Source organism: Homo sapiens, chromosome 7 (genome assembly GCF_000001405.40).
Source record: "Homo sapiens chromosome 7, GRCh38.p14 Primary Assembly".
In the NCBI taxonomy this organism is placed as follows: Eukaryota; Metazoa; Chordata; class Mammalia; order Primates; family Hominidae; genus Homo; species Homo sapiens.
Window position 1 is genome coordinate 105585319 of NC_000007.14, and position 27215 is coordinate 105612533.

At 45.2% G+C, this 27215-nt stretch overlaps 1 protein-coding gene across 3 annotated transcripts in view, besides 5 other annotated features; it reads right to left on the minus strand.

The window, feature by feature from the left end:
• Positions 873-932: an enhancer, noted in NCBI's record as "active region_26466". NCBI's record gives its function as "activates an Ori minimal core promoter by ATAC-STARR-seq in GM12878 lymphoblastoid cells {active_cell/tissue: GM12878}" and the evidence as "EXISTENCE:reporter gene assay evidence [ECO:0000049][PMID:35858748]".
• Positions 4220-4409: an enhancer, noted in NCBI's record as "active region_26467". NCBI's record gives its function as "activates an Ori minimal core promoter by ATAC-STARR-seq in GM12878 lymphoblastoid cells {active_cell/tissue: GM12878}" and the evidence as "EXISTENCE:reporter gene assay evidence [ECO:0000049][PMID:35858748]".
• Positions 6424-6718: a silencer, noted in NCBI's record as "tiled region #14983; K562 Repressive non-DNase unmatched - State 23:Low". NCBI's record gives its function as "represses a minimal TATA promoter and a strong SV40 promoter by Sharpr-MPRA in K562 cells {active_cell/tissue: K562}" and the evidence as "EXISTENCE:reporter gene assay evidence [ECO:0000049][PMID:27701403]".
• Positions 15414-16191: an enhancer, noted in NCBI's record as "H3K27ac hESC enhancer chr7:105241179-105241956 (GRCh37/hg19 assembly coordinates)". NCBI's record gives its function as "activates a minimal SCP1, AML or CMV promoter by ChIP-STARR-seq in naive H9 embryonic stem cells {active_cell/tissue: H9 hESC(naive)}" and the evidence as "EXISTENCE:reporter gene assay evidence [ECO:0000049][PMID:30033119]".
• Positions 15464-15758: an enhancer, noted in NCBI's record as "tiled region #12225; HepG2 Activating non-DNase unmatched - State 22:ReprW, and K562 Activating DNase matched - State 5:Enh". NCBI's record gives its function as "activates a minimal TATA promoter and a strong SV40 promoter by Sharpr-MPRA in HepG2 and K562 cells {active_cell/tissue: HepG2 | K562}" and the evidence as "EXISTENCE:reporter gene assay evidence [ECO:0000049][PMID:27701403]".
• The window catches only part of ATXN7L1 (ataxin 7 like 1), a 271828-nt gene continuing 264066 nt past the window's right edge, over positions 19454-27215 (minus strand). For 2 of the 3 annotated variants that reach the window (NM_001385596.1, NM_138495.2), the window contains 2 exons: positions 25211-25285; positions 19454-22575 (listed from right to left, as the gene is read on the minus strand). In NM_001385596.1, the coding sequence (NP_001372525.1) occupies positions 22534-22575; positions 25211-25285 (117 nt within the window). In that variant the 3' untranslated portion in view covers positions 19454-22533. The remainder of the gene's footprint in view (positions 22576-25210; positions 25286-27215) is intronic. The other variant, NM_020725.2, reaches the window with a different exon arrangement.

A 27215-nucleotide genomic window follows, 5' to 3' on the forward strand; every position in this document is an offset into this window, starting at 1 on the left:
TGACCCAGAAATTCCACTCCAAGAGCAGCTCTTGTCAGTGTATACCAGGAGACATGTACAAGAATGTTTATAGCAGCACCATTCATAATAGAAATCACTGACAACGGCCCAAATACCAAGAGTAAAATGGATTTTAAAAACTATAGTATATTACACATGAATACTATGAACCATTTCAACAATCAGTTGTAGCTACTTGCAACAATATAGGTGAATTTCAAAAACATTGTTTCAATATATACTATATGAATCAATTTAAAGTTTAAAAACATGCCAAACTGAATATATTATTTACAGATTCAAACATATGTAGGAAATCTATCAAGAAACACAAGAGAATGGTAAACGCAAAATTCAGCACAGTGTTTGCCTTGGAGGTGGGAGAAAAGGGAATGGGTTTAGGGAGGAATATTCTAGGGACTGCAGGATTCATTCTAATGTGATTTTAACTGAGGGGTAGGTTCACAGGTGTTCATCTGATTATGATTCTTTATACCTTATATATGTATTTTATAAAATTTTTTGATCTGTTCAGCATTTAGTAAAAATAATTTTTCAGCAGTTGAAAAATAGAGTGTGTGGTGCTGAAGGCTATTATCCTTAGCTAACTAACGCAGGAACAGAAAACCAAATGCCACATGTTCTCACAAGTGGGAGCTAAATGATAAGAACACATTGACATAAACAAGGAAACAACAGACACTGGGGTTGACTTGACAGGGGAGGGTGGGAGGAGGGAGAGGAGCAGAAATGATAACTACAGGGTACTGGGCCTAATACCTGGGTGACGAAATAATATGTACAACAAATCCCCTTGATATCTGTTTACCTATGTAACAAACCTTCACATGTGCCCCCAAACCTAATATAAAAGTTACAAAAAATAGAGTGGAAACAGGAGATAGAAAATGAATGCTAGGAGACTGAACCAAGTCTGAAACAGAAAGTAGCCATGGTACTGGGGACATGTGAGCACTGTGTCTCCAGAGGGCAGGCCTACCTTGAGAATGCTGAGCTATCTGGCAGGCCAGAAAAGCCCTGATCATCTGGGAGAACTAGAGGAGATTTTAGGGCTAATGTTTGGGTCCTTGGTGCAACTTTGAACAGAGAGAAGGGATAATGCTCTTGTCCTCAAGTCTAGAGGAGGTGTTCTGAGGAGGGAAAAGACTTACTCTCTGAAAAGACTTGAAAGCTGTGTGCCCAGGGCAAGGTGAGGTGGCTTATGCCTATAATCCCAGCACTCTGGGAGGCCGAGGCAGGAGGATTGCTCGAGCCCAAGAGCTTGAGACTAGCCTGTAATGCAGGATTTTCTTCTGGGTCACTTTGCAAGGCAGGGACTTCTAGCCTGTGATGCCCTACCCAGGCCTCACTCTCCTGCTGCAGGAGATGGCCTGCCCACTCGGCCTACCCGGGCTGAGTCTGGCCTGTGCTCCAGTCCCGGAGTTCTTATCCCTAACCCAAGAAGAATGAGGATGCGCTGAGAATAGAAGAGAGAGCAAGGAGGGGAGTTTTATTGAGTGACAGAACAGCTCTCAGAGGCCATTGCGGGGAGGTCAGTCCCCAATCCCAACGGTCAGGTGGTTTCTCCCTGTGCTGCTGGGTCTGGGGCGTTTTATGGACTCAGAATGGGGAGTGTGTGCTAGTTGGTGTGTGAGTATGCAAAAAGGGTTAAAGTGAAGACACCACTCAAAGGTGGGCATGAGAATATAGAAAACCAATTAGGAAAGGGTAGGTATATGTATAATAGGGGAAGGGTGAGGATCAATCAGAGGAAACATGCCAAATGGGAAGACAAGTTCTCAGTCTGGTCTGAGGATTTAACCTGTAGCTTGGCTTTCAGGCTTTAAACTGTCTTTGGCTTGGAGGTGGGGTTTCACAATTGACTTACCCCTATCTGCCCAGGCTTTTGGCTGCCTCCTGTTGCTGTCACTTAAACAACATGCAAAACCCCATCTCTACTAAAAATACAAAAATTAGCCAGCTGTGGTGGTACACACCTGTAGCCCCAGCTATTCGGGAAGCTGAGTCATGAGAATCGCTTGAACCTGGGAGGTGGAGGTTGCAGTGAGCTGAGATTGTGCCACTGTATTCCAGGCTGGGCAACAGAGCAAGACTGTGTCTCAGAAAGAAAACAAAACAAAACAAACAAACAAAACTATGTGCCCAAATCTGCACCACTGGCTTGGGTTTGTAAGAAGGGTCTTTCAGAAGGATGTTGGAGACTGTTCTACAAACTTTTTAATAGCAGAATACTTAAAAAAAAAATCATATGTGGAATCTCTTCCCATTACCCCTGTCCACAAATACATATACAACAGATAAAAGAGCACTACACTGGAATTCACATAGAATAAGATCACATTTTCTTGTGTTTTTTTTTTTTTTGAGACTGAGTCTTTGTCACCCAGGCTGGAGTGCAATGGTGCATCTCGGCTCACTGCAACCTCCTCCTCCCAGGTTCAAGTGATTTTCCCACCTCAGCCTCCCAAGTATCTGGGATTACAGGCACCTGCCATCATGCCCAGCTAATTTTTGTATTTTTGTAGAGATGGGGTTTCACCATATTGGCCAGGCTGGTCTTGAACTCCTGACCTCAGGTGATCTGCCAGCCTCAGCCTCCCTAAATGCTGGGATTACAGGCATAAGCCGCCACGCCCGGCAGCAAGATCACATTTTCTAAGCTCCCTTGTTTTGTATCTTTCTTACAGAAGCATGGCTGGCTGCCTGTGTGATCATAGTGACAGAGTTAACTGGAGCCTGGGGAGCTCTGAGGCAGAGACAGAACTCAGCTGACAAAGTTGATGCATTGCTCTGGTGCCTGTGGATCCGAGGGCCCTCTCTGAAGCCTGGTTCCTGATGGGTTCCAGGGAGAGTTTGAAAACTACTGATGTGGATGTTATTCTTCAGTGGTTTTTTTTTTTTTGATCCACTCCCCTGGGGACTTGCTTTACTTTCAGTGGTAGAAGGGAGAGTAAAGCGTAAACAGGAAGACCCAAATTATGTGCCCCTCCTTCAAATTCTGGCTAAGTGCTTGAACCTGCAGGGTTGACCAAAGCTGTATGATCGCTTGGGAAAGCGGCTCTGGCTCTGCTTAGCGGCCAGTACAGCAGAGGCGAGGCGATGACAACAGGGATGAGAAATGGAGGGGGAGCCTGCAGTGGTGACAGTGACTATGAGAAGCAGGAGACCACAGGCCTGGGGAGGAGGATGCGAGTCACAGCAGACAGAGGGGGCTGCTTTACGTCTGCTGTCATGATATCCTTCAACTTGCCCAAGGCCAGTGTGGCCTAAACAAAACAAAGTGGAAAAAATGTAAGGAATATTCCTTAATAAGGGAGAGAAGACAAAGTCCTGATCCCCTGCATACAGTGGTTTCTGCTCAGTGCTATAAAGCACAAGACATTGGGTCTTCTCCTTGAGAACGTCATATATTATTTTTCTGAGACAGTCTTGCTCCGTCGCCCAGGCTGGAGTGCAGTGGTACCATCTCAGATCACTGCAACCTCCGCCTTCAGGTTCAAGTGATTCTCATGCCTCAGCCTCCCGAGTAGCTGGGACTACAGGCATACACCACCACGCCCGGTTAATTTTTGTATTTTTTTGTAGAGATGAGGTTTCTCCACGTTGCCTAGACTGGTCTCAAACTCCTAAGCTCAAGTGAACTGCCCGCCTTGGCCTCCCAAAGTGCTGGGATTACAGGTGTGAGCCACCGCACCTGGCCTATTTTTTATTTCTATTGAGACAGGGTCTTGCTCTGTCACCCAGGTTGGAGTACAGTGGTATGATCACAACTCACTGCAGCCTCAACCTCTTCAACTGAAGCAATCTTCCTACCTCAGCCTCTAGAATAGGTGTGACTACAGGCATGCACCACCATGCCCAGCTAATTTTTTTTTTTTTGTAGGGTTGGGGTTTCACTATGTTGCCCAGGCTAGTCTCAAACTCCTGGGCTCAATCAATCCTCCCACCTAGGCCTCCCAAGTGCTGGGATTACAGGTGGGAGCCACTGCACCTGGCTGAGAACATATTTACTTACTCTTCAGGAGTTACTTGGTCCCTGAATAGCTCTGCTCTTTGTACTCTGGAACCTCAAATGACACTGAAACTGCAATAGTCTGATTTCCTCTGGCTATGAAGTTAGGCTGAGGAGAGCACAGCGGGCCCTGCTGACCTCTTGCCAAGTTTCTGGTTGTTTTCTTTTCCAACAAGGCTGGGTCCTTTCTGCATCAGAGGAACGACACTGTGTGCTCAGCACTCTCTCAGCACAACTCAGATGGTGCCCTGCATCTCCCATTGCCCTGGAAACCACGCTGAAGAGAAGTGTCCGGATGCCACCTAGTGGAGTTAGCTATTCTCTGTTGGTGCCATCTGTTAATAAACCAAACTGGGCTTAATGAATCATCTTCAGCATCCTCATAGCACTGCTCCTTCCACAACTTGTCCTCACCTCCTCATCACTCTTAATATTATGACTAATTCTTTTAGTGGTTGTAGGGTGGCTCCAGGTGGGGGGCATTCATGCTGTGGTTCTCAGTCCGGGCAACACCTTAGAACCACCTGGGAGGCTTTAAAAAGTACTGGTATCTGTGCCCATTTCAGGCCGTGAAACACAATCTCCTGGGATGGGGCTGGGACATTGGTGGTTTTGCTGTTGTTGCTTTAACAGCTCTATTGAGGTATAATTAACATTTGATAAAGTGCACATTTTTAAAATGTTCTATGTGGTAAGTTTGTATACAGCCATGAAATCATCACTACAGCAAGATAATGAACATTCATTCCCCAACCCCATCCCCAGGCAACCACTGACCTACTACCTGTAACTAGAGATTTGTTCGCAAATGGAACCATAGTATGTGGTCTTTTTTTTGGTCTGGCTTCTTTCACTCAACATAATTTTTTGAGATTCATCCATGTTGCTACATGTATTAATATTTCATTCATTTTTATTCCTGAGAAGGATTCCACTGAATGTATATATGAGAATTTGTTTACCCACTTACCTGTTGATGCACATTTGGGTTGTTTTCAGTTTTGGACTATTGCAACTAAAGCCACTATGAATATTCATATACATGGATATACAATTTCATTTATCTCTGGGAAATACCTAGGAGTGGAATGGCTGGATGGTCGGTACTTAATTTTTTTTTTTTTTTTTTTTTTTAACAGTCTCACTCTGTCATCCAGGCTGGAGTGCAGTGGTGTAATTAAGGCTCACTGCAGCCTGGACCTCCTGGACTCAAGTGATCCTCCCAGCTCAGCCTACCAAGAAACTGGGACTACAGGCGTGTGCCACTATGCCCAGCTAATTTTTTTTTTTTTGGTAGAGACTAGGTCTCACTATGTTGCCCAGGCTGGTCTTAAATTCCTGGACTCAAGTGATGTGCCTGTCTTGGCCTCCCAAAAGTGCTGGGATTACAGGTGTGAGCCACCATGCCCGGCTTTTTAAATTTTTATTTATTTATTTAAGAGACAAGGTCTCACTCCGTTGCCCAGGCTGGAGTACAGTGGCACAATTATGGCCCACTGCAGCCTTGAACTGAACTCCTGGGCTCAAATAATCCTCCTGCCTTAATCTCCCACGTAGCTAGGAGTACAGACACATGCCACCACACCTGGCTAATTGAAAAAAAATTTTTTTTAAGAGATGGGGTCTTGCTATGTTGCCCAGGCTAGTCTCAAACTCCTGGCCTCAAGCAATCCTCCTGCCTCGGCCTTCCAAACTGCTGGGATTACAGGCATGAGCCGTTGTGCCCGGCCATGTGTCTAACTTCTTAAGAAACTGTTTTCTGGAGTGGCTATACCATTTTGCATTCCCAAGCTGATAAGCATTAAAAGCTTCCCACATGATTCTAATGGACAACCAGACCCGAGTCCCTGCATTACTCCAAGCTGGGTGGGTTGAGGCGAAGGGCTGGGCAGCGTTTGATCAGGAGTCCACAAGAGTTTGAGAGTACACAGCTTCTGCTTGGTGTAGACTTACTGTGATTCTTGACCCAGCACAAACACTGTAGTCTCCTGGGAAGGCTTTTTGAAAATGCAGCATATCCCACTGCTTCATTTGACTAGCCTAAAAAAGAGAAAGAAATTTAAAAAAGGAAAATGCAGTGTCTGCTCCCTCTTCCCCCAGAGAGTCTGATAAAATTGCTTTGCTCTGAAAGTAGGAGTGTGGGCCTGTTTCAGTCATCAGTTCATTAACAGCTCCCCCGCAGGGTTCTAGAGCATAGAGTGACCAACTGTCCTGATTTGTTATGGAGGGAGGGGTTTCCAGTGCCATGAAACTTTCAGTGATAAAACTGGAAAAATCCCAGGTAAACTGGAACACTTGGTCACCCTATGTGTGGACCACCAGCATAAAGACACTGGGCTTTAGTGTCAGGTAGACTTGTCAGTCTGCCTGTCAGCCTTGAGTTATAGCTCAGGGTGTGTGTTGGCAGGGGAGGGAATTGTATAAGATGGAAAATGAGGAGACATGAGTGTCCAGAACAGACTGGGGCCTGATTTCCTCTCTCCATTTTTTGTTTCAACGAGGAACAAGTCAGAGATGGCTCAGCTAGGAGTTTTGGTTGCTATTAAAAAGGAAGGAAAACAATATAAAGGGTAATTTCCTGAGAAAACACGCAGTGTGCCGTAATGGCCTTTGGAGCCACACTGCCTCACTTCCAATCCCAGTCTTACCACTGCCCGTTAACTGTGTCACCTGGGGCAAAAAGCTAGATTCTCTGCCTCAGTTTCCTCATGGATATAATGGGGATAATATATCTACCTCACAGGGGTTGTCTTCAGGACCGAATGAACCAATATATGTAAAGCTCTTAAAATGGTGCCAGGCATGTACTAAATGTTTGCCATTATCATCTTAGTCTTGTTAAAATGAGAGGAAAAGAAAAATTCCTATAGTCTCTATAACCTATGTCCATAGGCTGTCCTGCTTGGTTTCCTATGGAAATGTTTTTGGAGTAACATTTCAGATTTTGTGTGTGTGTGGTTTTTTTCGGTCCCAGGGTCTCACTCTGTTACCCAGGCTGGAGTACAATGATCCAATCACAGCTCACTGCAGCCTTGACCTCCCAAAGCACCACCATGCCTGGCTAATTAAAAAAATTTTTTTTTGCAGAGATAGAAGTGTATGTTGCCCAGGGTTGTCTTAAACTCCTGGTCTCAAGTGATCCTTCTGCCTCAGCCTCCCTAAGTGCTGGGATTACAGGCGTGAGCCACTGCACCCAGCCTTGTGTTGTGTTTTTTCAAAACTCTAGACTCTTGGTTCTATGTGGCAATGTGAGAGGAAGGCAAGATATTTATTATATGCTTAATATTCTTGTGCAAATCATAAGGGAGACATAAGTTTAGAATGTGATTTTACTTTCACCAAGTTGTTTCATTGGTGAGCTGCCTTTTTTTTTTTTTTTTTTTTTTTTTTTAAGATGGAGTCTCGTTCTGCCTTGCCCAGGCAGGAGTGCAGTGGTGCGATCTCAGCTTACTGCAGCTTCCGCCTCCTGGGTTCAAGCAATTATCTTGTTTCAGCCTCCCAAATAGCTGGGAATACAGGCGTGTGCCACCACATCCAGCTAATTTTGTATTTTTAGTAGAGATGGGGTTGTGCCATGTTGGCCAGGCTGGTCTCGAACTCCTGACCTCAGGTGATCCACCCACCTTCGCCTCCCAATATGCTGGGATTACAGGCATGAGCCACTGCGCTCAGCCAGGGAGCTGCATTTTTAAAGTTAAAAACAACCAACCAAGAACATAGACTAATAGTGACAACTATTAGAACTCAAATCTCAAAAGTTCCATCTCAGTCTTTGTAAAATAACATTTAACATCTGAGGCAGTACAAGATGGACTCGAAAAGTGTATCCAGCCTTTGCTCATTCTTCATGGACCTAAAAAGCAAACATGCTTAAAACATTTTAAAACACTAAATTCATTTTACCAAACATGAAAGTGTAGAAAACATCGAGTGGCCACAGTATGAAGGATGGCAGGACAAGGTTGGGATCGTGGGCCTATGATACCCCTTTACAGTACTTCATTAAAAAAACTTGCTTCTCCCGATGCTAATATCTCATAACTGTAGAATCAGTAAATTGACATTGCTACAATGCTATTAACTCAGCTATAGATCTTATTTGGATTTCACCAGTTTTTACATGCACTCTTTTTTTCCTTTTTTTTTTTTTTTTTTTTTTTTTTTTTTGAGACGGAGTCTCGCTCTGTCGCCCAGGCTGGAGTGCAGTGGCGCGATCTCGGCTCACTGCAAGCTCCGCCTCCCAGGTTCACGCCATTCTCCTGCCTCAGCCTCCTGAGTAGCTGGGACTACAGGCGCCCGCTACCACGCCCGGCTAATTTTTTGTATTTTTAGTAGAGACGGGGTTTCACCGTGTTAGCCAGGATGGTCTCGATCTCCTGACCTCGTGATCCGCCCGCCTCGGCCTCCCAAAGTGCTTCCTGTTTCATTTTTGAGGCTACTTCTGAATTTCAGAACATCATATTATAAACTGAGCCTAAATTTAGCTCCCATCACACTGGCTAGTTCTGTTTAAGCTTTAATTAGGTCCACCAAATTGAAGCCCAGAACAAAATTTATGAACACCAACACTCTTTGATCTTCTATATTATTTATATGAAAGGTGACCACAGATGATCTCCTATTTACACAAGTTACATGGGGAAGTCAAGGACCCTTTCCCAAGAGGCTTCCCCACTTACTAGCTGTTATGATCTTGAACAAATTACCTGATCTCTTTAAACTTTGGTTTTCTCACCTGTAAAATGGAGATAATAATCTTACATACCTCACAGTTATTTTGAGGATTAAATTAGAAAAACTGTGAAACACATGATCAATAACATTATTTACCACCACTGCCACCACCAGGGGAATCCTAGCCCTTTAGCTCATTTCTTGATATCAGAGCAGTGCCGGTACTGCTTAGAGCTGGGAGTCTGCCCTGGGTGCAGACTAGAAGTCTTTGCTCTCCTGGCAGATGGCGAGGTGGAAGGGTGTACTTTCTCATAGCTGGGATGATGGCCAGGTGGCACGCAATCCTGTCTTCCCTGGCTGAAACTGAGAATGCATTTCCCAAAATGCTACTGTATTGATATTAGACTTCAGGTGCATCATGGGGCCTTTATGGGTTGTCCTGCAACCTAATCACCCTTGATTTTGCATTTAAATGAAGATTATATTAGGTTGCAAATGAAACATTTGGAGCATAGCCCACAGAGCGGGGATCACTTATACGAGGAAGACAGATAGTTACTCGTATATTATTTTTGAAACTAAGACATCACTTTGCCTGAATACCCTTTTCAAGCAGAAATATGGTTAAAAGTTTAAAATGGTAAAATTTTTAGTATTGAGTGTTGGTCACTTCCAAAGGACAGCCAGGTTCTCATCGGTGGCTCTAGGGGATACATTATTTCACACAGTCGAACATGAATTAATATAGTATTGCTGGTCACAGTATGTCTGCTGCATTGGACAGAATCGGCAGTATACTGGAGCTGGTTTGCACAGCCTCAGGAGCATCGATGGTGTCTCTTTTCAGCTCTGTGTTCAGTGAGGACAGGCTGCTGCTAGCTTGATATTAGCCATGGTGGGCATATTTCTGTCACAGAAATTCACAGACGCTTTCCCTCTCACCCCCCATAGGCTGTTGTTTCACATTTACCAGCATACCACTAGCTCCTTCATTGTTCATTCAACAATCATTTGTTGTATACCAACTGTATGCCTGATGCTATTTAGGAACTGAACAACACTGAACAAGACAGCCCAGGTCCTTCCCTCTTGGAATTTTAAGGTGATCTCTAAAGACAAATTTGATGTTCACAGAAATATGAAATACACATATTTTTGGAATGAAAAAGCCCCAGAATGTCAATGTAACCCATATGGTAATCCACACCAAGCTTTACAATACAAAATCTCCCTTGGAAAATTGAAGCAGATTGCTTTTAAAGACATCCCAGGCATTCCCTTTTTAACCATTTCCAGAGAAATAGATTCCACAACTTTTCACTGTAATTATTTTTTATCACTTTCAGTTTTTCTCTGGTCCTGTATCCATCCAATCTCTTTAAGCTTCGAAGCACAGGGCCAAACACTGTACTTTGGTAAACATGAAGGTAAGATCACCTAATGGCTCCCCTATATTTCTTTTTTTTTTTTTTTTGAGACGGAGTCTCGCTCTGTTGCCCAGGCTGGAGTGCAGTGGGGCGATCTCAGCTCACTGCAAGCTCCTCCTCCCAGGTTCATGCCATTCTCCTGCCTCAGCCTCCCGAGTAGCTGGGACTACAGGTGCCCGCCACCACACCCAGCTAATTTTTTGTATTTTTAGTAGAGATGGTGTTTCACCATGTTAACCAGGATGGTCTCGATCTCCTGACCTCGTGATCCACCCGCCTCGGCCTCCCAAAGTGCTGGGATTACAGGCGTGAGCCACCATGCCCGACCTTCTTCTTTCTAAAATATAGACAAGATCTTGCTATGTTGCCCAGGCTGGTCTCAAGCGATCCTCCTGCTTCAGCCTCTCAAAGTTTTGGGATTACAAGTGTGAGCCACTGTGCCTGGCCTCTATTTTTTTTTTTTTTTTTTAATGTTTTTGCTTCGTTATTTTCATTTATTTTCTAAGGGTATGTTAAATTCCCTGAAGAGCATTTAAATACAAATGCCTGGATTCCTACTCCCTCTATAAATGCTGATTCAACCGGATTATGGGGTGGACCAGGCAACTGGTAACTTCTTATTTTTATTTATTTATTTTTGTTTTTTTTTTTTTGTTTTTTTTTTTTTGAGACAGAGTCTCGCTCTGATGCCCAGGCTGGAGTGCAGTGGGGCGATCTCGGCTCACTGCAAGCTCCGCCTCCCGGGTTCACGCCATTCTCCTGCCTCAGCCACCCGAGTAGCTGGGACTACAGGAGCCTGCCACCGCGCCCAGCTAATTTTTTGTATTTTTAGTAGAGACGGGGTTTCACCGTGTTAGCCAGGATGGTCTCGATCTCCTGACCTCGTGATCCACCCGCCTCAGCCTCCCAAAGTGCTGGGATTACATGCATGAGCCACCGTGCCTGGCTGGTAACTTCTTATTTTTTAATGTTTTATAATTTTTAATTAAAAATTTAAAAATAGGCCTGGTATCCTTGAGTCCTGAACCTCTGAGTGTTCCATTTAATTTCTCCGGAAAATAACCCTCCAGTTCCCTGCTAGGGACTGGGGGAAGTCACCACTGGGCTGCATAGGTGAAGGGGACTTGTGGGGGTCCAACAACCTCATGTGAGACTTTCAAACCTCCTTCTCCATTTTCAACATCTTGTTACACCCCATCCTCTGTGGTACCTACTGCCTCTGGGAGATGGGAGGAGAAAATGGGCTTCTCATCAGTATTCTCCTCAGAGTACTTTAACTTTCTTCTTCTGATAAGATAATTATCACTCCAAGTCTGCCGTTTGCCTTTTGTGTGTGTATAAACTTTCAAATTTAAGAGTGCATAATAAAATGAACATATCTTAAGTATATAACCTGATAAATATTTCACAAACGATTAGATTCATTTAACAAGCTCCCAGGTCGAGATACAGAGCATTTCCAGCACTGCAGAAATCTCTCTTGTGCCCCCACAAAGGTAACCACTGTTCTATAAATCAGTCTGTTTGTATTCATGGCTTTAATTCACCAAGGTTACTTTGAATACCCATTCATTAATTAAAATGTTAAACAATGCTGGGCTCAGCATGGGCCTGGCAGGAACAACCTCCCAGTGCTGGAAGGTGAGCACGGACTTGGAGGCTCCCTCTCCGGGTCTGTCCTACAGCAGAGTCAGCTGGTCCTCTTCATGTGGAACATCTAGCCCATGTCAAAATGTTCTCAGTTTATTGAGTTGCACAGAACCAAAAGACGTGTACACATTGAAAACAAAACCTGCCTCTGATTCTTTCCAAAAGAAAAGCTCCAGGATCCCCAAGATTTTCCTCCCCATGCCCTTCTGTTCCCTGGGGCTCTGCTTTGCCCTATTCCAATAATATGCAAGAATTATTACTCTCCTCCCCTAGCCTGCAAGTCGTGTTTGGATTGAGGAACATGGAAGAGATTTTTGGGGTACAAAGGGGACTAAAGGTTGGCTATGAAATCAGTAAGGTAAGTGAAGTAGGTTGAAAGAAAATGAAAATTCTAATAGACTTTAGAAGCTAATTTTTTTTTTTTTTTTTTGAGACGGAGTCTCACTCTGTTGCCCAGGCTGGAGTGCAGTGGCGCGATCTCAGTTCACTGCAATCTCTGCCTCCCAGGTTCAAGCAATTCTCATGCCTCAGCCTCCTGAGGTAGCTGGGACTACAGACACGTGCCACCATGCCTGGCTAATTTTTGTATTTTTAGTAGAGTCATGGTTTCACCATGTTGGCCAGGCTGGTCTCAGACTCCTGACCTTGAATGATCCACCCACTTTGGCCTCCTTAAGTGTTGGATTACAGGCATGAGCCATCACACCCAGCTACTTTTTTGAGACAGGGTCTCTCTGTTGCTCAGGCTGGAGTGCAGTGGCGTGACCTTGGCTCACGGCAACCTCCACCTCCCAGGCTCGAACCGTTCTCCACCCCAGCCTCCTGAGTAGCTGGGACTACAGGCTCCCATCAAGTCTGGCTAATTTTTGTATTTTTGGTATAGGCAGGGTTTCACCATGTTGCCCATGCTGGAGAAGCTCCTATTTTAATAGCAGCTTTCTCAGTACTTGTTCAGGTTGCAAAGGAAGCAAACACTTTTGTGATGATGCTGTTTGCTTTACAAATTTACTAAAATATTTGATGGCTGAAGGGGAAACCCAGAAAAGTTCCACCATTTTAAAAATGGAGAACCTTCCTAAAGTTAATGACCTTAGATCAGATTCAAGTTTTGAATTATCTCAATAAATGCAGCACCTCCAAATTGTTACAAGCTTCCCACAATGATTCTCCAATGATTCAGTCTTGAATAGGATTGATTTGGTTTTTGAGGCATTCAGCTTTCTTGGCATCTTTTTCATTTACTTTTCTAGTTGAATGGCTTATGAAGATGTGACGAATAGAAAATAAACTTATTAAAATAAATTCCTGGGAACTTTATTAGAAACATGGGTACTTAAAACCTGCTGCTCTGAATAGCCCCAATGAGATCAGAAAGCAAGAAATAATCCATTAGGCAAGTGGTTATTGCCTAATGGAAAAAAACAAAAAGGAGAAAAATATTTAAGTATAGTAAAACCTAAGTAAACCAACTAGAGGACACATTGAATTTTTTTTTTTTTTTTTGAGACAGAGTCTTACCCTGTCACCCAGGCTGGAGTACAGTAGTGTAATCTTGGCTCACTGCAACCTCTGCCTCCTGGGTTCAAGTGATTCTCCTACCTCAGCCTCCCAAATGGCTGGGATTACAGGTGCCCGCCACCATGTCTGGCTAGTTTTCGTGTTTTTAGTAGAGATGGGGTTTCACCATTCAGTGTGCCTGGCTGATACACTGAATTTTGAAACACCTTTATGGAAATACAGTGGTATAGGAAGAACAGTCTGTGGGTAGAGTTTTCTTTTTTTCTTTTTTTTTGAGACAGAGTCTTGCTCTGTCACCCAGGCTGGAGTGCAGTGGCAAGATCTCGGCTCACTGCAACCTCTGCCTCCCAGGTTCAAGCGATTCTCCTGCCTCAGCCTCCCAAGTAGCTGGGATTACAGGCGTATGCCACCACGCCCAGCTAATTTTTGTGTTTTTAGTAGAGATGGGGTTTTGCCATGTTGTCCAGGCTGGTTTTGAACTCCTGACCTCAGGTGATCCACCCACCTCGGCCTCCCAAAGCGCTGGGATTATAGGTGTGAACTACCGTGCCTGGCCGGTAGAATTTCTTTCTACAGGAAATGGAAAGAGCACTGTTTTGAAAGAACAATCGGGCTTGACCAACAGCCAGCTGTGAGGTCTTAGTATCTCATTTAAACTGTCCCAGTCTTGGCCAGGCGTAGTGGCTCATGCCTGTAATCCCAGCCATTTGGGAGGCCAAGAAGGGTGGATCGTTTGAGTACAGGAGTTCGAGACCAGGCTGGGCAACATGGTGAAACCCCATCTCTACTAAAAATACAAAATGTTAGCTGGGTGTGGTGGCATGCACCTGTGGTCCCAGCTACTCAGTGAGCTGAGGCCGGAGGATCACTTGAGCTTAGGAGGTTGAGGTTGCAGTGAGCCCTGATTGTGCTAGTCTGGGTGACAGAGTGAGACACTGTCTCAAAAAAAAAAGCCCCCCACGTAAACAAAAATAAGCTGTCCCACCTGTAGAAGAGGGTTCTAGGGTTAAGATCACTTCCAGCTTCCTATGGTTTTTCTAGGCCTATGACTAGTTTTGCAAGAGGCTTCACAGAGTTCTGGCTTTGGAAAAAAACAGAATGTACAGGCCCCTTTCACAACAGAGCTTGATGTTACCCAGGCCAGTGCATGGTGATGGACTGCCAGCCACAGACAAGGCTCTCAGTGAACTGGTGGGCAAAAGAAGTCCTTGGTGCAGGAAGTGCCACACTGCCGTTTTGTGACAGTGGGCAATATACAATGTTACAAACATTTATTCAACGTGCCTACTATGTGTCAAGTTTCAAGTCTGCTTCCTCTGGCTTTCTGTTCTGCACCATAGTGAAAATATTCACTCGGGACTGAAGCAAAATGGCAAAAAATCGCCTTAGTTTGCCTGACAGCTTTGGCTCCGAGTGGCCTTGCTCTGCTCTTCGGGCACTCCAACTACTCCCCAAGATGATCTTCTCCATGTCAGGATCTTAGACATGAATTTCAAATGTGCTCTCAGCACTGTCTGTCTGGCAATTTAGTTCTTTACTTTTTTTTTGAGACAGGGTCTCGCTCTGTCACCCAGGCTGGAGTGCCGTGGCTTGATCAGAGCTCACTGCAGCATTGAACTCTTGGGCTCAAAGAATCCACCCGCTGGGACTGCAGGTGCCCGCCACCATGCCGGGCTAATTTTTGTATTTTCTTTTATAGAGACGGGTTTTTGCCATGTTGCCGTCTTGAACTCCTGGACTCAAGCAATCCACCCACCTTGGCCTCCCAAAGGGCTAGGATTACAGGTGTGAACCACTAAGCCCAGCCCTTAATTCTTTCTTTACTTTTCTCAAACTTCTCCCAAGCTTTCATACACATTCATCTTGCCTCATGGTCACTCAGAAAACGGAAGCCATCAGCTGGGCATTCCCTCATCTTCCCAGCAATAAATCTATAAGCTGACTTCCTCCCCATTGCCTTAGAGGTGTCCCTCTTTCTACAAAGGCCAGCATCTCCCTCCCTCCTGCCATCTCAAGGACTTTTTTTTTTATTTAGTCAGATAACTCTCTTTTAAATCACCCTGTATGAGTCTGTTTTCATACTGTTATAAAGAACTACCTGGGATTGGGTAATTTCTAAAGGAAAGAGGTTTAATTGACTCACAGTTCAGCATGGCTGGGGAGGCCTCAGGAAACTCACAATAATGGTGGAAGGCGAAGGGTAAGCAAGACACATTCTTCACAAGGCAGCAAGAAGGAGACGTGCCGAGCGAATGGGCGGGGAGTCGAGGGCGGGGGTTGGGAGGGAAGAGCCACTTATAAAACCATCAGATCTCGTGAGAACTCACTCACTATCAGGAGAACCACATGGGAGAAACCGTCTCCATGATTCAATTACCTCCACCTGGTCTCCCCCTTAACACGTGGGGATTCTGGGGATTCTGGAGATTACAATTCAAGATGAGATTTGTATGGGGACACAAAGCCTAACCATTACCACACCTCTTTCTCTTGCTTTCTTAACCTCTCCCTCTCCTATTTACCTCAGTCTTACCAGCATATGGATTATAATCTGGTCTCTCCTCCCTTGAAAAACAAAAAACACAAAATCCAAAGCCTCCCTCGTGCTAAGCTCCTTAGGATTTGTCTGTCTACAAAAGGAATTCCCTTGCTTAGCTCTCACACACCCTCCAAACCACTCCAGTTTGGCTTTGCCCATGCTCCGCCCTCCCATGCCAACGCTACTCTGTCATACCTGTTTTGCTGAGGCCACTGTGGTATGTTGAATAGTGGCTCCCAAAAGATATGTCCTAACCCCCAGGCCCTGCCAGTGTGACCTTATTTGGAAAACCAGAATTTGCGGATGTTAGGCATCTCCAGATGAGATCATCTAGGATTTAGGGTGGGCCTTAAGTTCAGTAACAGTTATCCTTGTGAAAGAAAGGCAGTGGGAGATTTAAGACATGGGAGAAACAGGGAAGAAGGCCATGTGAATGTGGAAGCAGATTTGAGGGTTGAGCCTCTAAACCAGGGAAGCCAAGGACAGCAGTCACCAGAAGCCGGAAGAGGCAAGGAAGGATTCTCTGCTAGAGCCTTGGAAGGGAATGCAGCCTGCGGACGCCTTGATTTTGGACTTCTGGTCTCTAGAACCATGGGATAATAAATGTGTGTTGCTTTAAACCAGCACATTGTGGTCATTTGTCATGATAACCCTAGGAAACTAATAATTCACCAGTGACCGCCACGTTGCTAAGCCCTAGACACGCCGCCATCCCTGTCTTCCATTTTGCAGCAGCATTTGGTTCAGCTAACTGCTCCTTCCCCAAAACATGTACAGTCCTGGCTTTCAGGGAACCACTTTCTGCTGGGGTCACTCTTTGCTTTGAAGGGCTTCATCTTAGGGTTCCCTGCCAGCTTTCTGGCTCTACCCAATCTCTCTTCTCTTCTCCCTTTACATTCTCTCAGGTAATCACAACAATATTTTTTTTAGTAGAGACGAGGTTTCACCATGTTGGCCAGGCTGATCTTGAACTCCTGACCTCAGGTGATCTGCCCACCTTGGCCTCCCAAAGTGCTGGTATCACAGGTGTGAGCCACCGTACCCGGCCTGCTTCCGATCTTCACTAAACACTCCTGCTGCCAGCCCCTCAAAAAGCCTCTTCCTCCTTTGGTTTTCCATATCTGAAGAAATGACAACTCCACCCAAACTAATTGCTCTACCAGAGACCTGGGAGTCGTTCTTTACCTAAACAAATCTTATCAATTTCATATCTAAAATACATATATCTTGAATCCACTTCTTTTTTTTTTTTTTTTTTGAGATGGGGTCTCTGTTGCCCAGGCCGAAGCACAGTGGTGTGAGCACGGCTCATTGCAACCTTTGTTACAGGGGGCAGCTAATTAGGCACGGGCAGGGCAGGAGAGAGCTCCCTCACCCCCCACACACCAGGAGAGTTGGGTGGCCCTCAGGTCATGTTCGGGCAGTTGTTAACTGTTTCGCTAAAGTAATAATTGGTCACAGCCGGTGCCAGGGAAAGGCAGTCTCCTAATAGAAAACACTTGAAACTATCAGCCGCTTCCCAGTAAGATCTCAGCAGTGGGGAGAAGTAATGCAAGATCCTGGAAGTAGGCCAATGGATAAAACACCCAAGTCAAGAGATCAAGCTGCATGCTTGGTTTCTCAAGTCGCCTGCTTGGTCCACTTCCAATTGCACTTTCCTTCTTTCCTTTCCTTACTGCTCTAAAGCTTTTCTTTTTTTGAGATGGAGTCTTGCTCTGTTGCCCAGGCTGGTGTGCAGTGATATGATCTCAGCTCATTGCAACCTCCGCTTCCCAGGTTCAAGCGATTCTCGTGCCTCAGCCTCCTGACTCCTAGCTGGGATTACAGGCACGTGCAACCATGCCCGGCTAATTTTTTTTTTTTTTTGGAACAGTCTCTCACTCCTTCACCCAGGCTGGAGTGTAGTGGTGCAACCTCCGCCTCCCGAGTTCAAGTGCTTCTCCTGCCCCAGCCTCCCACGTAGCTGGGATTACAAGCGTGTACCACCATGCCCAGCTCATTTTTTGTATTTTTAGTAGAGATGATGTTTTACCATGTTGGCCAGGCTGGTCCCAAGCTCCTAACCTCAGGTGATCCACCTGCCTCGGCCTCCTGAAATGTTGAGATTACAGGTGTGAGTCACTGAGCCCATCCAGCCTCTAGAGCTTTTTAATAAACTTTCACTCCTGCTCTTAAACTTGCCTCGATCTCTTCTTCTGCCTTATGCCCCAGTTGAATTTTTCTGAGGAGGCAAGAACTGAGGTTGCTGCAGATCTGTATAGGTTTGCCACCAGTAACTTGGATACCTTCCACTGGTAACACCTTGACCTACCTCCCAAGCTCAAGCGATCCTCCCGCCTGAGCCCACCAAATAGCTGGGATCACAGCTGCGCACCACCATGCCCGGCTACCTTTTTTTAGGGACAGGGTCTCCCTGTATTGCCCAGGCTGGCACACACTTTTCTTTATAGCTACTGTCATCATCTTTCGATCACACTGATGTTCTTCACTTTGTCTCTTGCAATAGCTTCCCACTGATTCACCACACAGTGGCTAGAGTGCCCTTTTAACAGATCACAGTACCGTGGCCCTCCTTAAAGCCCTTCCAAGGATTCCCACTGAATTGGACACAAAATTCAAACTCCCTAAAGGCCTTCTGTGGCCTCGTCCCTGCCCTCTGTCCATCTCTCTGCCCCTGGTCTGTCCACAATGGACGCTCTTTAGGCTTCAAGAAGTGATCTCTGCCTTCAGATCACTTCTTCAGAGAGAACTTCCTGAGAGCTGCCTCCTCTCCATCGTAAATGTCTCTCCTGTTACTTTCTCTCACAGAATTCAGTTCTTTCCACCATAGCATTTGCCACAATCCGTAATTACACATCTGATCATGTGTGTATTTATTTGCTTTCCTTCTCACTGGGTTGCTTCCAGAAAGCAGCTGGGATCGTGTTTCTCATCCCTGCGCACAGAGCGCCTGGCTCAGGGGCAGGCACAGAGAGGGTGCTCTCTAAGTACTCGCTGAATGAATCCACTGTCTTCTCTTCTCCTCACAGTCGTCTCCTGCCTCAAACGCAGGTCTAGCAGAAAGGCTCTTTTGGTGAGAATACCTTCACCCCCGGCAAAAAAAAAAAAAAAAAAAAAAAAAAAAAAAAAGAAATACCAAAAATTTAAATTTTATGAAAACCCGAAGACTTTGTTTTACAAACATATAAATTATTTTATTTACAAAGCCATGTTACAAAAAAAAAAAAAGCAAAAAAAAAAAAAAAATACAATTGCTTACTGGAGAATATTTCCAGGCCTGGTGAGGAACCATGGCAGTATCAATAGATACATGTTTGTTCTTTCCTTTTAAAACTGTAAGCCATAGAATTTACTATTTACACCTACTTTAGACATTTATTCTGCTTACAATATCACAGGCATGGAATGAACTCTATCTGATAGTGCTAATACATAGAGGTGCGGGACGAAGAAGGAAAATACTTAGTGTTACAAAATATGGATTGTAGAAAAGAAACCCACTCCACAAGTGTGGCATTTGTTTAGAATGATCGGACATGCTTTCTTCAAAATTTTTCTGGAAAAGGTTCTAAAATTGGTAGTAGGAAAGGACAAATGAGCAGGTGCAAATTCTTGTCTGTGCAACAACAGTTATTTAATATACCCCATGACTGACCAGCTACGTAAAACCCACAGAGTTTTGTTAAAGTGCCATGGGCCGACAGCATAACAAAATATAAGGTGTAAATAGAAAATTTCTTTTTTTCCTTTTTTAAAACAAGAGTTCACTGAGAATCAGCAATAATAGAATATGCTGTATAAACTATTCTCTACAAAGGTTGATCAGCATTATTTACAATTGGTACATTGATACAAAAGAAGGCATACAAGTTATCCAAGTCGCTTTTTTTTTTTTTTTTTTTTTTTTATGGCTGACAGGTCTATGCATTGCGTTATGCTTCACAACCAGAGCTTTCGAGCCTCTATGGCTGGCGACAAGTCAGGAGATCTTCAGGCAAAGAGGGGTGTGTGCAGTCAAGGGGCTGGGAGAGAAGACTGAGTGGGTGTGCAGAACAGAAGGACCCAGAGGACATCACCCTAAAAATGTTTTATAGGCTGCTCCAGTTTAACTCCATTAAGACAAACCCAAAGAGAACCTTTTATTTGCATTCCATTTTTCAAGCTGCAAGTTTTTAATACATCATTGTAAAGTAAACCTGTGGTTGACTGCCAAGGAAGAATACTGTGGGCTTTCCCTTTTTGCCCAGTTTTCCAGAAATATCCTCACCTTGGTCATAGCCAGTCTTTTGACAAAGTAAGCAGCATTCGATGAGGGTGGGGGGGGGGGTGGGGGCTCTTTATTCCAGCTTCCAATTCAAGATGTAGAGAGCTACAATGTCTAAACCTATTGAATTGCTCCTTTAGTCCTTGAGACATTATTTCTCAGAAGCAGCCACTTAATCTCTCAACCTTTGTTTTCCCTCTTTGACTATAAGAGTTTATAAATCAGAGGGTTATTTTGTTGTGGAGATTTTGTTTTTTGTTTTTACTCCTGCAAGTTTTACAACTCAAAATAAATTATAAAAAACAACAGACCTCTGAAACCGAACAAGACAAAATTGTGCAAAAATAACAAAGATATGTACATACTTTTCAGTCTGAAGAAATGTACAATAAAAACATAATTCAAAGAACATTTTAAAAATATAAACATTGCTTAAACTTTCCTAAGTTTCATATTGTTTCTGAAACTATTCTGGTCAGTTAGCTCTGTAATATAGTAAAACATAAATTATTACAAAATTAACACTATAAAAATTTACTTTAAGAATATCTTCTAAACTTTTTTTCAAAGGGTCTAACCTTGTTTATAATTTCTTAAACATTTATAAGTCTTAAAATCTCCTTAACCTTTTTTTTTTAAAAAAAGAAAAAGTAACAATCATCCCTTCAATTTGCAGTCTCTTTTCCCAAGACGTAAATAAACCAGCATATAAGTGCACTTTTAACACTGTAGAAATAAAAATGAAATCATCCGAACTAATGTCCTGGTACTTAATATCAACTCCTGATTTTTAAACAAATCATTTTATATTAAAAAATTTAGTAATCCTATAAGAAACACTCACTGTCAGTGCAATTCCATTGATGAAAATCACTCCATTTGCCTCCCGTCTTTGCAATTCCAATTGTGTGGTGAAACTTAACAGTAGTCTGATCTTTGGGTTGGGGGAACGGGAAAGAAAAGGAAAACTTTGGGGTGGGGATGAGGGTTCTGCCCAGCTATGAAACTAGCATTCATTTCTGATTTAAGGATGAAACAAAACCTCCCAGTATCTTTGCTATACATCATATACAAAGTTACATGATTAATAGCACAGAACACCTATTTTATGTTGTGAATTCCTTTCCTGATTATGATTCCCTACTAGAGCTTATGGTATTGCTGTTTCTTTTAAAACTCCAGTGTGAATAGTTCTATGGCTGCAGGGCTCCAGCGTGGCTCTTCCAAATGGCTGTTCTTCACTGAGCAGTGGCTGTCCTTACCATTCCTTCATGGGGATGGCTGTCTCTAAGACAGCAAAAGCTGATCCATGGGTGTGCTGATCCCACCAAGTCCCTGTGGCCCAGGGCATGGGGGTGGGTGGGAAATGCTATTATTTATTCTGACAAAAGGTTTGACACATACCCTTTTGTGGAAGCTCTCCCTGGGGGGCTCTTCCTAGCCCAGGAAGGCAGCCTAAGAACCTTTAGCAGCTGTGGTCACCGTGCCTCCTCATGGAGTGGCTTTCTGGGTTCTCACGACCTTTTTCCTGGGATTTCTCCCTCCTAGCTCACCCTGCTGTGGGCACTGGCACACTGATTCCTGGAAGGGATTCTGCAGATTCCTGACCAGCTCAGACCACCACAGTCTCCAGTTTTTTTAGGGATCATCTCCTACCCACCATGCTCTGCTTGCTGCCACCTTCCCAAACCTGTTCTGGCCCCTGTCCCTGACTGGTTTATCCTTTCTGAGCTGCACAGCTGGACAGTGGTATTAGGTAAACCACATCACTAAACGGCCACTGTTCTCAATCTCGCTTCTAGCATTTGGCTCCAGCCATGGTGGGCTGTGGAAACTGGATGAGGGAACCCCACCCACCCTCCAACTCTCCACTCCCAGCTCCTCCCCAGCAAAGCCCCCTCTCCCTGCACACAATCCTGAGGGGATCCTATGAGAGCCAGGTCCTTTGAAGACCAGTGAGGACCCAGAGAGTGGTAGACGTAGGGATGGAAGGAATCGGGTGGAGATGACAGGAAGAAAAAGGGCTCTGCCTGTGCTACAGTTCAAGAGCTTCAGAGCATGCCAACCTGGAACCAACATTCTGCAATGTCTGCTCTCATGGCTGGAGCAAAAGGATGGTACAGTAGCAGCATCAGGAGCTAGGGGAGTGACCCCAAATTTGGAAGAATGTAAAAACATGGCAAATGAAAGGAAAGACAGCGGAAACCAAACACTGGAACTGTTTTCTGTAAATCTCAAATTCACCTTCTTTTGCCTTTTTAACTAAAAATTGGTCAATTAAAAAAAGAAGAAGAAAGGCCAGAGTCACAGGGAGTGCACAGAAAACAGACTCTCCCCCCAGCCCACTCCCCTCCCTCCTCCTCCCCATGGCCTCCTCGGATGGGATTAGGTGGCCTGGAATTGATGTGGAAGTGGCTTCATAGTCTTGTTATGGAAGAGTCCTTATCCTGCCCGTTCTGTTTGTGTTCTTCTAGGAAAGAAAAGAAAAACTTGTTTCAAAACCATACAGTTGAGATTACCCATGAGAATTCAAGGATGGAGACTTAGTTTTCTCATCTATAATAGAAAGGACAATATCCCACCTCCCATATCCAGCAAAGGGCAGCTGGAATAGCAAGAGATGATGGATCTAAAGGACCCAATAGCAAATGAGGTGACGGATCCATGCATGTAAGGCAGTCACAGAGGTCCTCACTGTGGAGGAAAACACAAGGACGAATGCCGCGGACATTCCTGGGAGTCCTCTTTGGGAGAGTGGACAGAATAATTGATGCCTTCATTTTTGTTCTCCATTAGTTCACCTTTTCCTACCTAACCTATAGATGACACTGCAAATTATCTCAGGAAGGATTCTAGTGTTGGGTTAAACACAGAGGCTCTGGAGAGAGAGATTTTGGGTTCAAGTTACTTGGCTTCTTAGTGTAGCCATCTTCATCTGTAATCATCTTGTCCCTCACAGGGTTGTGAAAAGGTTTAAATGTGTGTAGCGTGTGTAAAGGACACAGCACGTAGCCCTCTCTCTGCAGGCAGAGAGTGCTACACAAGTGGTGGCCATTTGTGTTTGTCAGGGCTGATTGCTGGCATTTTGGGTTCCCAGCAGGTGTACCCGGAGCTATGGGCACATGCAGGCTGTGTTTGGTGAGGGTGAAGTGTAGTCTGTAGGTACACATGACAACCTCTACAAGAGGCCCCATCAACAGAGGCTGACGGCCTGAGTATAAATGTGCCTTCCCACCCCAGCACACATGAAGGGCTGCAAGTGTTCTGGCACAAAAAGGACTCAAAATGGTGAGGAGACTCTCCCTGGCCTGGGGATACAAAAACCATTTCCCCATAATCTTTACCCAAACTCTACCCAAGATTTGTGGGAAAATCCCAAAGGGCAAAATACACACACGTTGCTATTTTGTTATTTGGTGTCTACAAAACATGCGGTACATCTCAGGCAACATAACAACACGGTTATATATACACGCACACCCACACATTTTCCAATCATGTGTAAGGGGCAAAACCCCACCCCCCAATCCTTCCTGGTCCTCCCTAGACACATATGCACACACTCCATTGAGAAAATCATTTATCACAGGTGTACACACCGACTACTCTTATACATCAAGTTTATAAAAACTACTAAGTCTACCCTGAATACTGCTGCCATGAAACTGCATCCTGAATGGTGGCTGCAGCTCATCAGAGGCTTTTGAGAGAGTGCTGATGGACAGACACCATGGGCAAGGCCTCCCCCTCCTCTTTTTTTTTTTGAGACAAAGTCTCACTCTATTGCCCAGGCTGGAGTGCAATGGTGCGATCTTGGCTCACTGCAACCTCCATCTCCCGGGTTCAAGTGATTCTCCTGCCTCAGCCTCCTGAGTAGCTGGGATTACAGGTGCGCACCACCATGCCCAGCTAATTTTGCATTTTTAGTAGAGACGGGGTTTCACCATGTGGGCAAGGCTAGTCTCAAACTCCTGACCTCGTGATCTGCCTGCCTTGGCCTCCCAAAGTGCTGGGATTACAGGCATAAGCCACCATGCCTGGCCTAAAAAAAATTTTTTTTGAGATAGGATCTCGCTCTGTTGCCCAGGCTGGAGTGCAAGGTGCAATCACAGCTCACTGCAGCCTCAACCTCCCAGACTTCAGTGATTCTCCTGCCTCAGCTGCCTGAATAGCTGGGACTACAGGCATCTGCTGCCATGCCTGGCTATTTAAAATTTTTGTAGAGATAGGGTCTCACCATGTTCCTTAGGCTGGTCTCAAACTACTGGGCTCAAACCATCCTCCTGCCTCGGCCTCCCAAAGTGCTGGGATTATAGGTGAGGCATCATGCCTGGCTGGCAAGTCCCTTTTTTACAATTTTTTTCTTGAGACACAGTCTCACTCTGTCACCCAGGCTGGAGTGCAGTGGTGCAATCTCAGCTCACTGCAACCTCCACCTCCCTGGTTCAAGCAATTCTCCTGCCTCAGCCTCCCGAGTAGCTGGGACTACAGGAACGCACCACCACGCCCGGTTACTTTTTGTATTTTTTAGTGGAGATGGTGTTTCACTATATTGGCCAGGCTGGTCTCGAACTCCTGACCTTGTGATCTACCTGCCTCAGCCTCCCAAAGTGTTGGGACTACAGGCATGAGCCACCATGCCCGGCCGCAAGTCCCTTTAATCAAATCATCTTCTTTAATTTTCACAATAGCCTTAGGAGGGAAGCATTAATTTTGCCTTTTAACGAATGAAAAAAACTGAGACTCAGAGAGGTAATGTGCGTACGCTCATACAGCTGGTAATAATAGCTAACACTTGTGGGTTTACTGTGTGCCAGGCATTTTCTAGTGGCTTTACATGAATAGGCTAATCCTCACAAAAGCCATAAAAGGTAGGGGCCAGTATGATCCCCACTTTATAGACAGAGGAAATGGAAGCACAGAGAAGTTAAGTAACTTGCCCAAGGGCACACAGCTAACTAGAAGGCCTAGGTTTGGAAGCCAGGTAGCCATGCTCTTAACTGGAGATGAGGTTTGAATCAGGGTCTGACCCCAGTGTCCAAACTCTTTCCACTCTGCTGATGACCATATGAATTTTTGCCCCACCCCCACCCTCAGTAACTTACCTGTCGGCTGTGTCCTGGGCTGGATATACTTGAAGGACTGGATTGTGACAAAGCTAGGCTGCTATTTTTCCCAACCTGAAAGACACCATTGAAGCCCCACTCAGACACACGAGCCAGCCTGGGAAGGGCCCGCCGATGCCACATGTTCTAGGGGAAAGAAGGGCTGCACAATGCCTCCTTCATTCCCTCAGATTGGCTCGGAACTGGTGTTTCCATCTTAAGTGGCAGAGAAAATGAAAATGTTGCAGAGGGTGCCTTGAGGGATGCCCTCTCCTTCCCAGAGGAAAAGTAGAATTGTGGGGACTCCTCATACTGCTCCCTAGCTGGCCGGGACAGAACAGGGAAGGATGAGGACAAAGGCATCTGGTGGAGATGCCTGGCCCCTCCTGGGAGCTTCACTCAGCAGAGGCTGGGCTTTTCTACCTGTGGCCAAACGGTCACACAGCTCATATACCTCTGACCCTCCGTCCCAAACCCATCTTGTTTCCAGCCCAGACTCCCTCAGCCTGGCTGCAGATAAAACACCTGGATCTTTTGCTGGGTCAGTTTTCCCGGCTAGGAGATGTAACGCACACGCAACTGTTCTTTAGGAAAATAGCACGATGGTGCTGGGCTTCTCCTTCATGTGGATGGAGGACAGGAACGCTATGCATGCGGGTGTGGCCACTGTGCCCTTCCCCTTCCTCTGGGACTGTCCTTCACACAATGGGCCCGGTCCTTGGGGAAGCTGATGCCAGGCACTAACCAGTCCCTGTCTAGTCTGCAAAGGCAGCTTGAACTTTCATCCTATAAACCGCTCCTCTTCTCCATTAACTTGCCTTTATGTAAAGATGTTTGCCTTACATTATTTTATTTATTTTTGAGACACAGTCTCACTCTGTTGCCTAGGCTGGAGTGCAGTGGCACGATCTTGGCTCATTGCAACCTCTGCCTCTGGGGTTCAAGTGATTCTCCTGCCTCAGCCTCCCGAGTAGCTGGGATTACAGGCACGTGCCACCCCACCCAGCTAATTTTTGTATTTTTAATAGAGACAGGGTTTTGCCATGTTGGCCAGGCTGGTCTCCAACTCCTGACCTCAGATAATCCACCCATCTCGGCCTCCCGAAATGCTGGGATTACAGATGTGAGCCACCACACCTGGCTACATTCACAGTCTTGATTTTTTATTCAGTTTAATAGCCCTGTGGCAACTTCTGGCCTTATATCAACCAGATACAATTAAATGGATCCCCAAATTGTTCTCAAAGCAAAGGTTTATCTTGGATTTCTCAATCTCATGCGTTGCCCCGACCCCGATCTCCTAGCAGAATTAACACAGATCCCAAGGGCCTTTGCCTTTACTGAATACTTGGAAATCACCAGTGATAAAGCCTTTTCTTAATGCCCTGCTGACAAGCACCGAGGTATCACCTGCGTTAGAGAACCAATGCTGACCATATCCAAGGCAGCCGTTAAATGCATCCGTTTTTTTGAATTCCCTCCTGATGAGTACTTGGCTGCTCCTTTCACCACCGCTTCTGGCTGACTCAGCATTTACTAAGCATTTCCTACAGTCCTGCAGACCAAAGTATCAACAGAGCCACATCTACTCAACACAGAGGGACTCTGTTAATGGCATGGAGGCTAAGAGGCCAGACTCCAGAGCCAAAATGCCTGGGTTTAAATCCTAGCCTAACTACTGCTTCGCTGTGTGATTTTGGGTGCCTTGCTTAACCCTCCTGTGCCTTGGTTCACCCATCTGTAAAAGGAGAGTAACAGCAAGTAATTATAAAATGAGTTAATACACCTGAAGTGCTTGGAACAGAGCCCATCATCTACGTGTTAGCTGCTGGGACTGTATCTAAAATGAGTGAGATACCACGGCCTTGCTGTTCAAGGCGTGGCCTGGGAGGCTGTTAGAAATGCAGACTCCCAGGCCCCTGCCCAGGCCTGCTGATTGAGAATCTGCATGTTCACAAGCCCCCCGGGGGATTCGTGTATATGTTCAAACTTGAGAGGCCTTGGC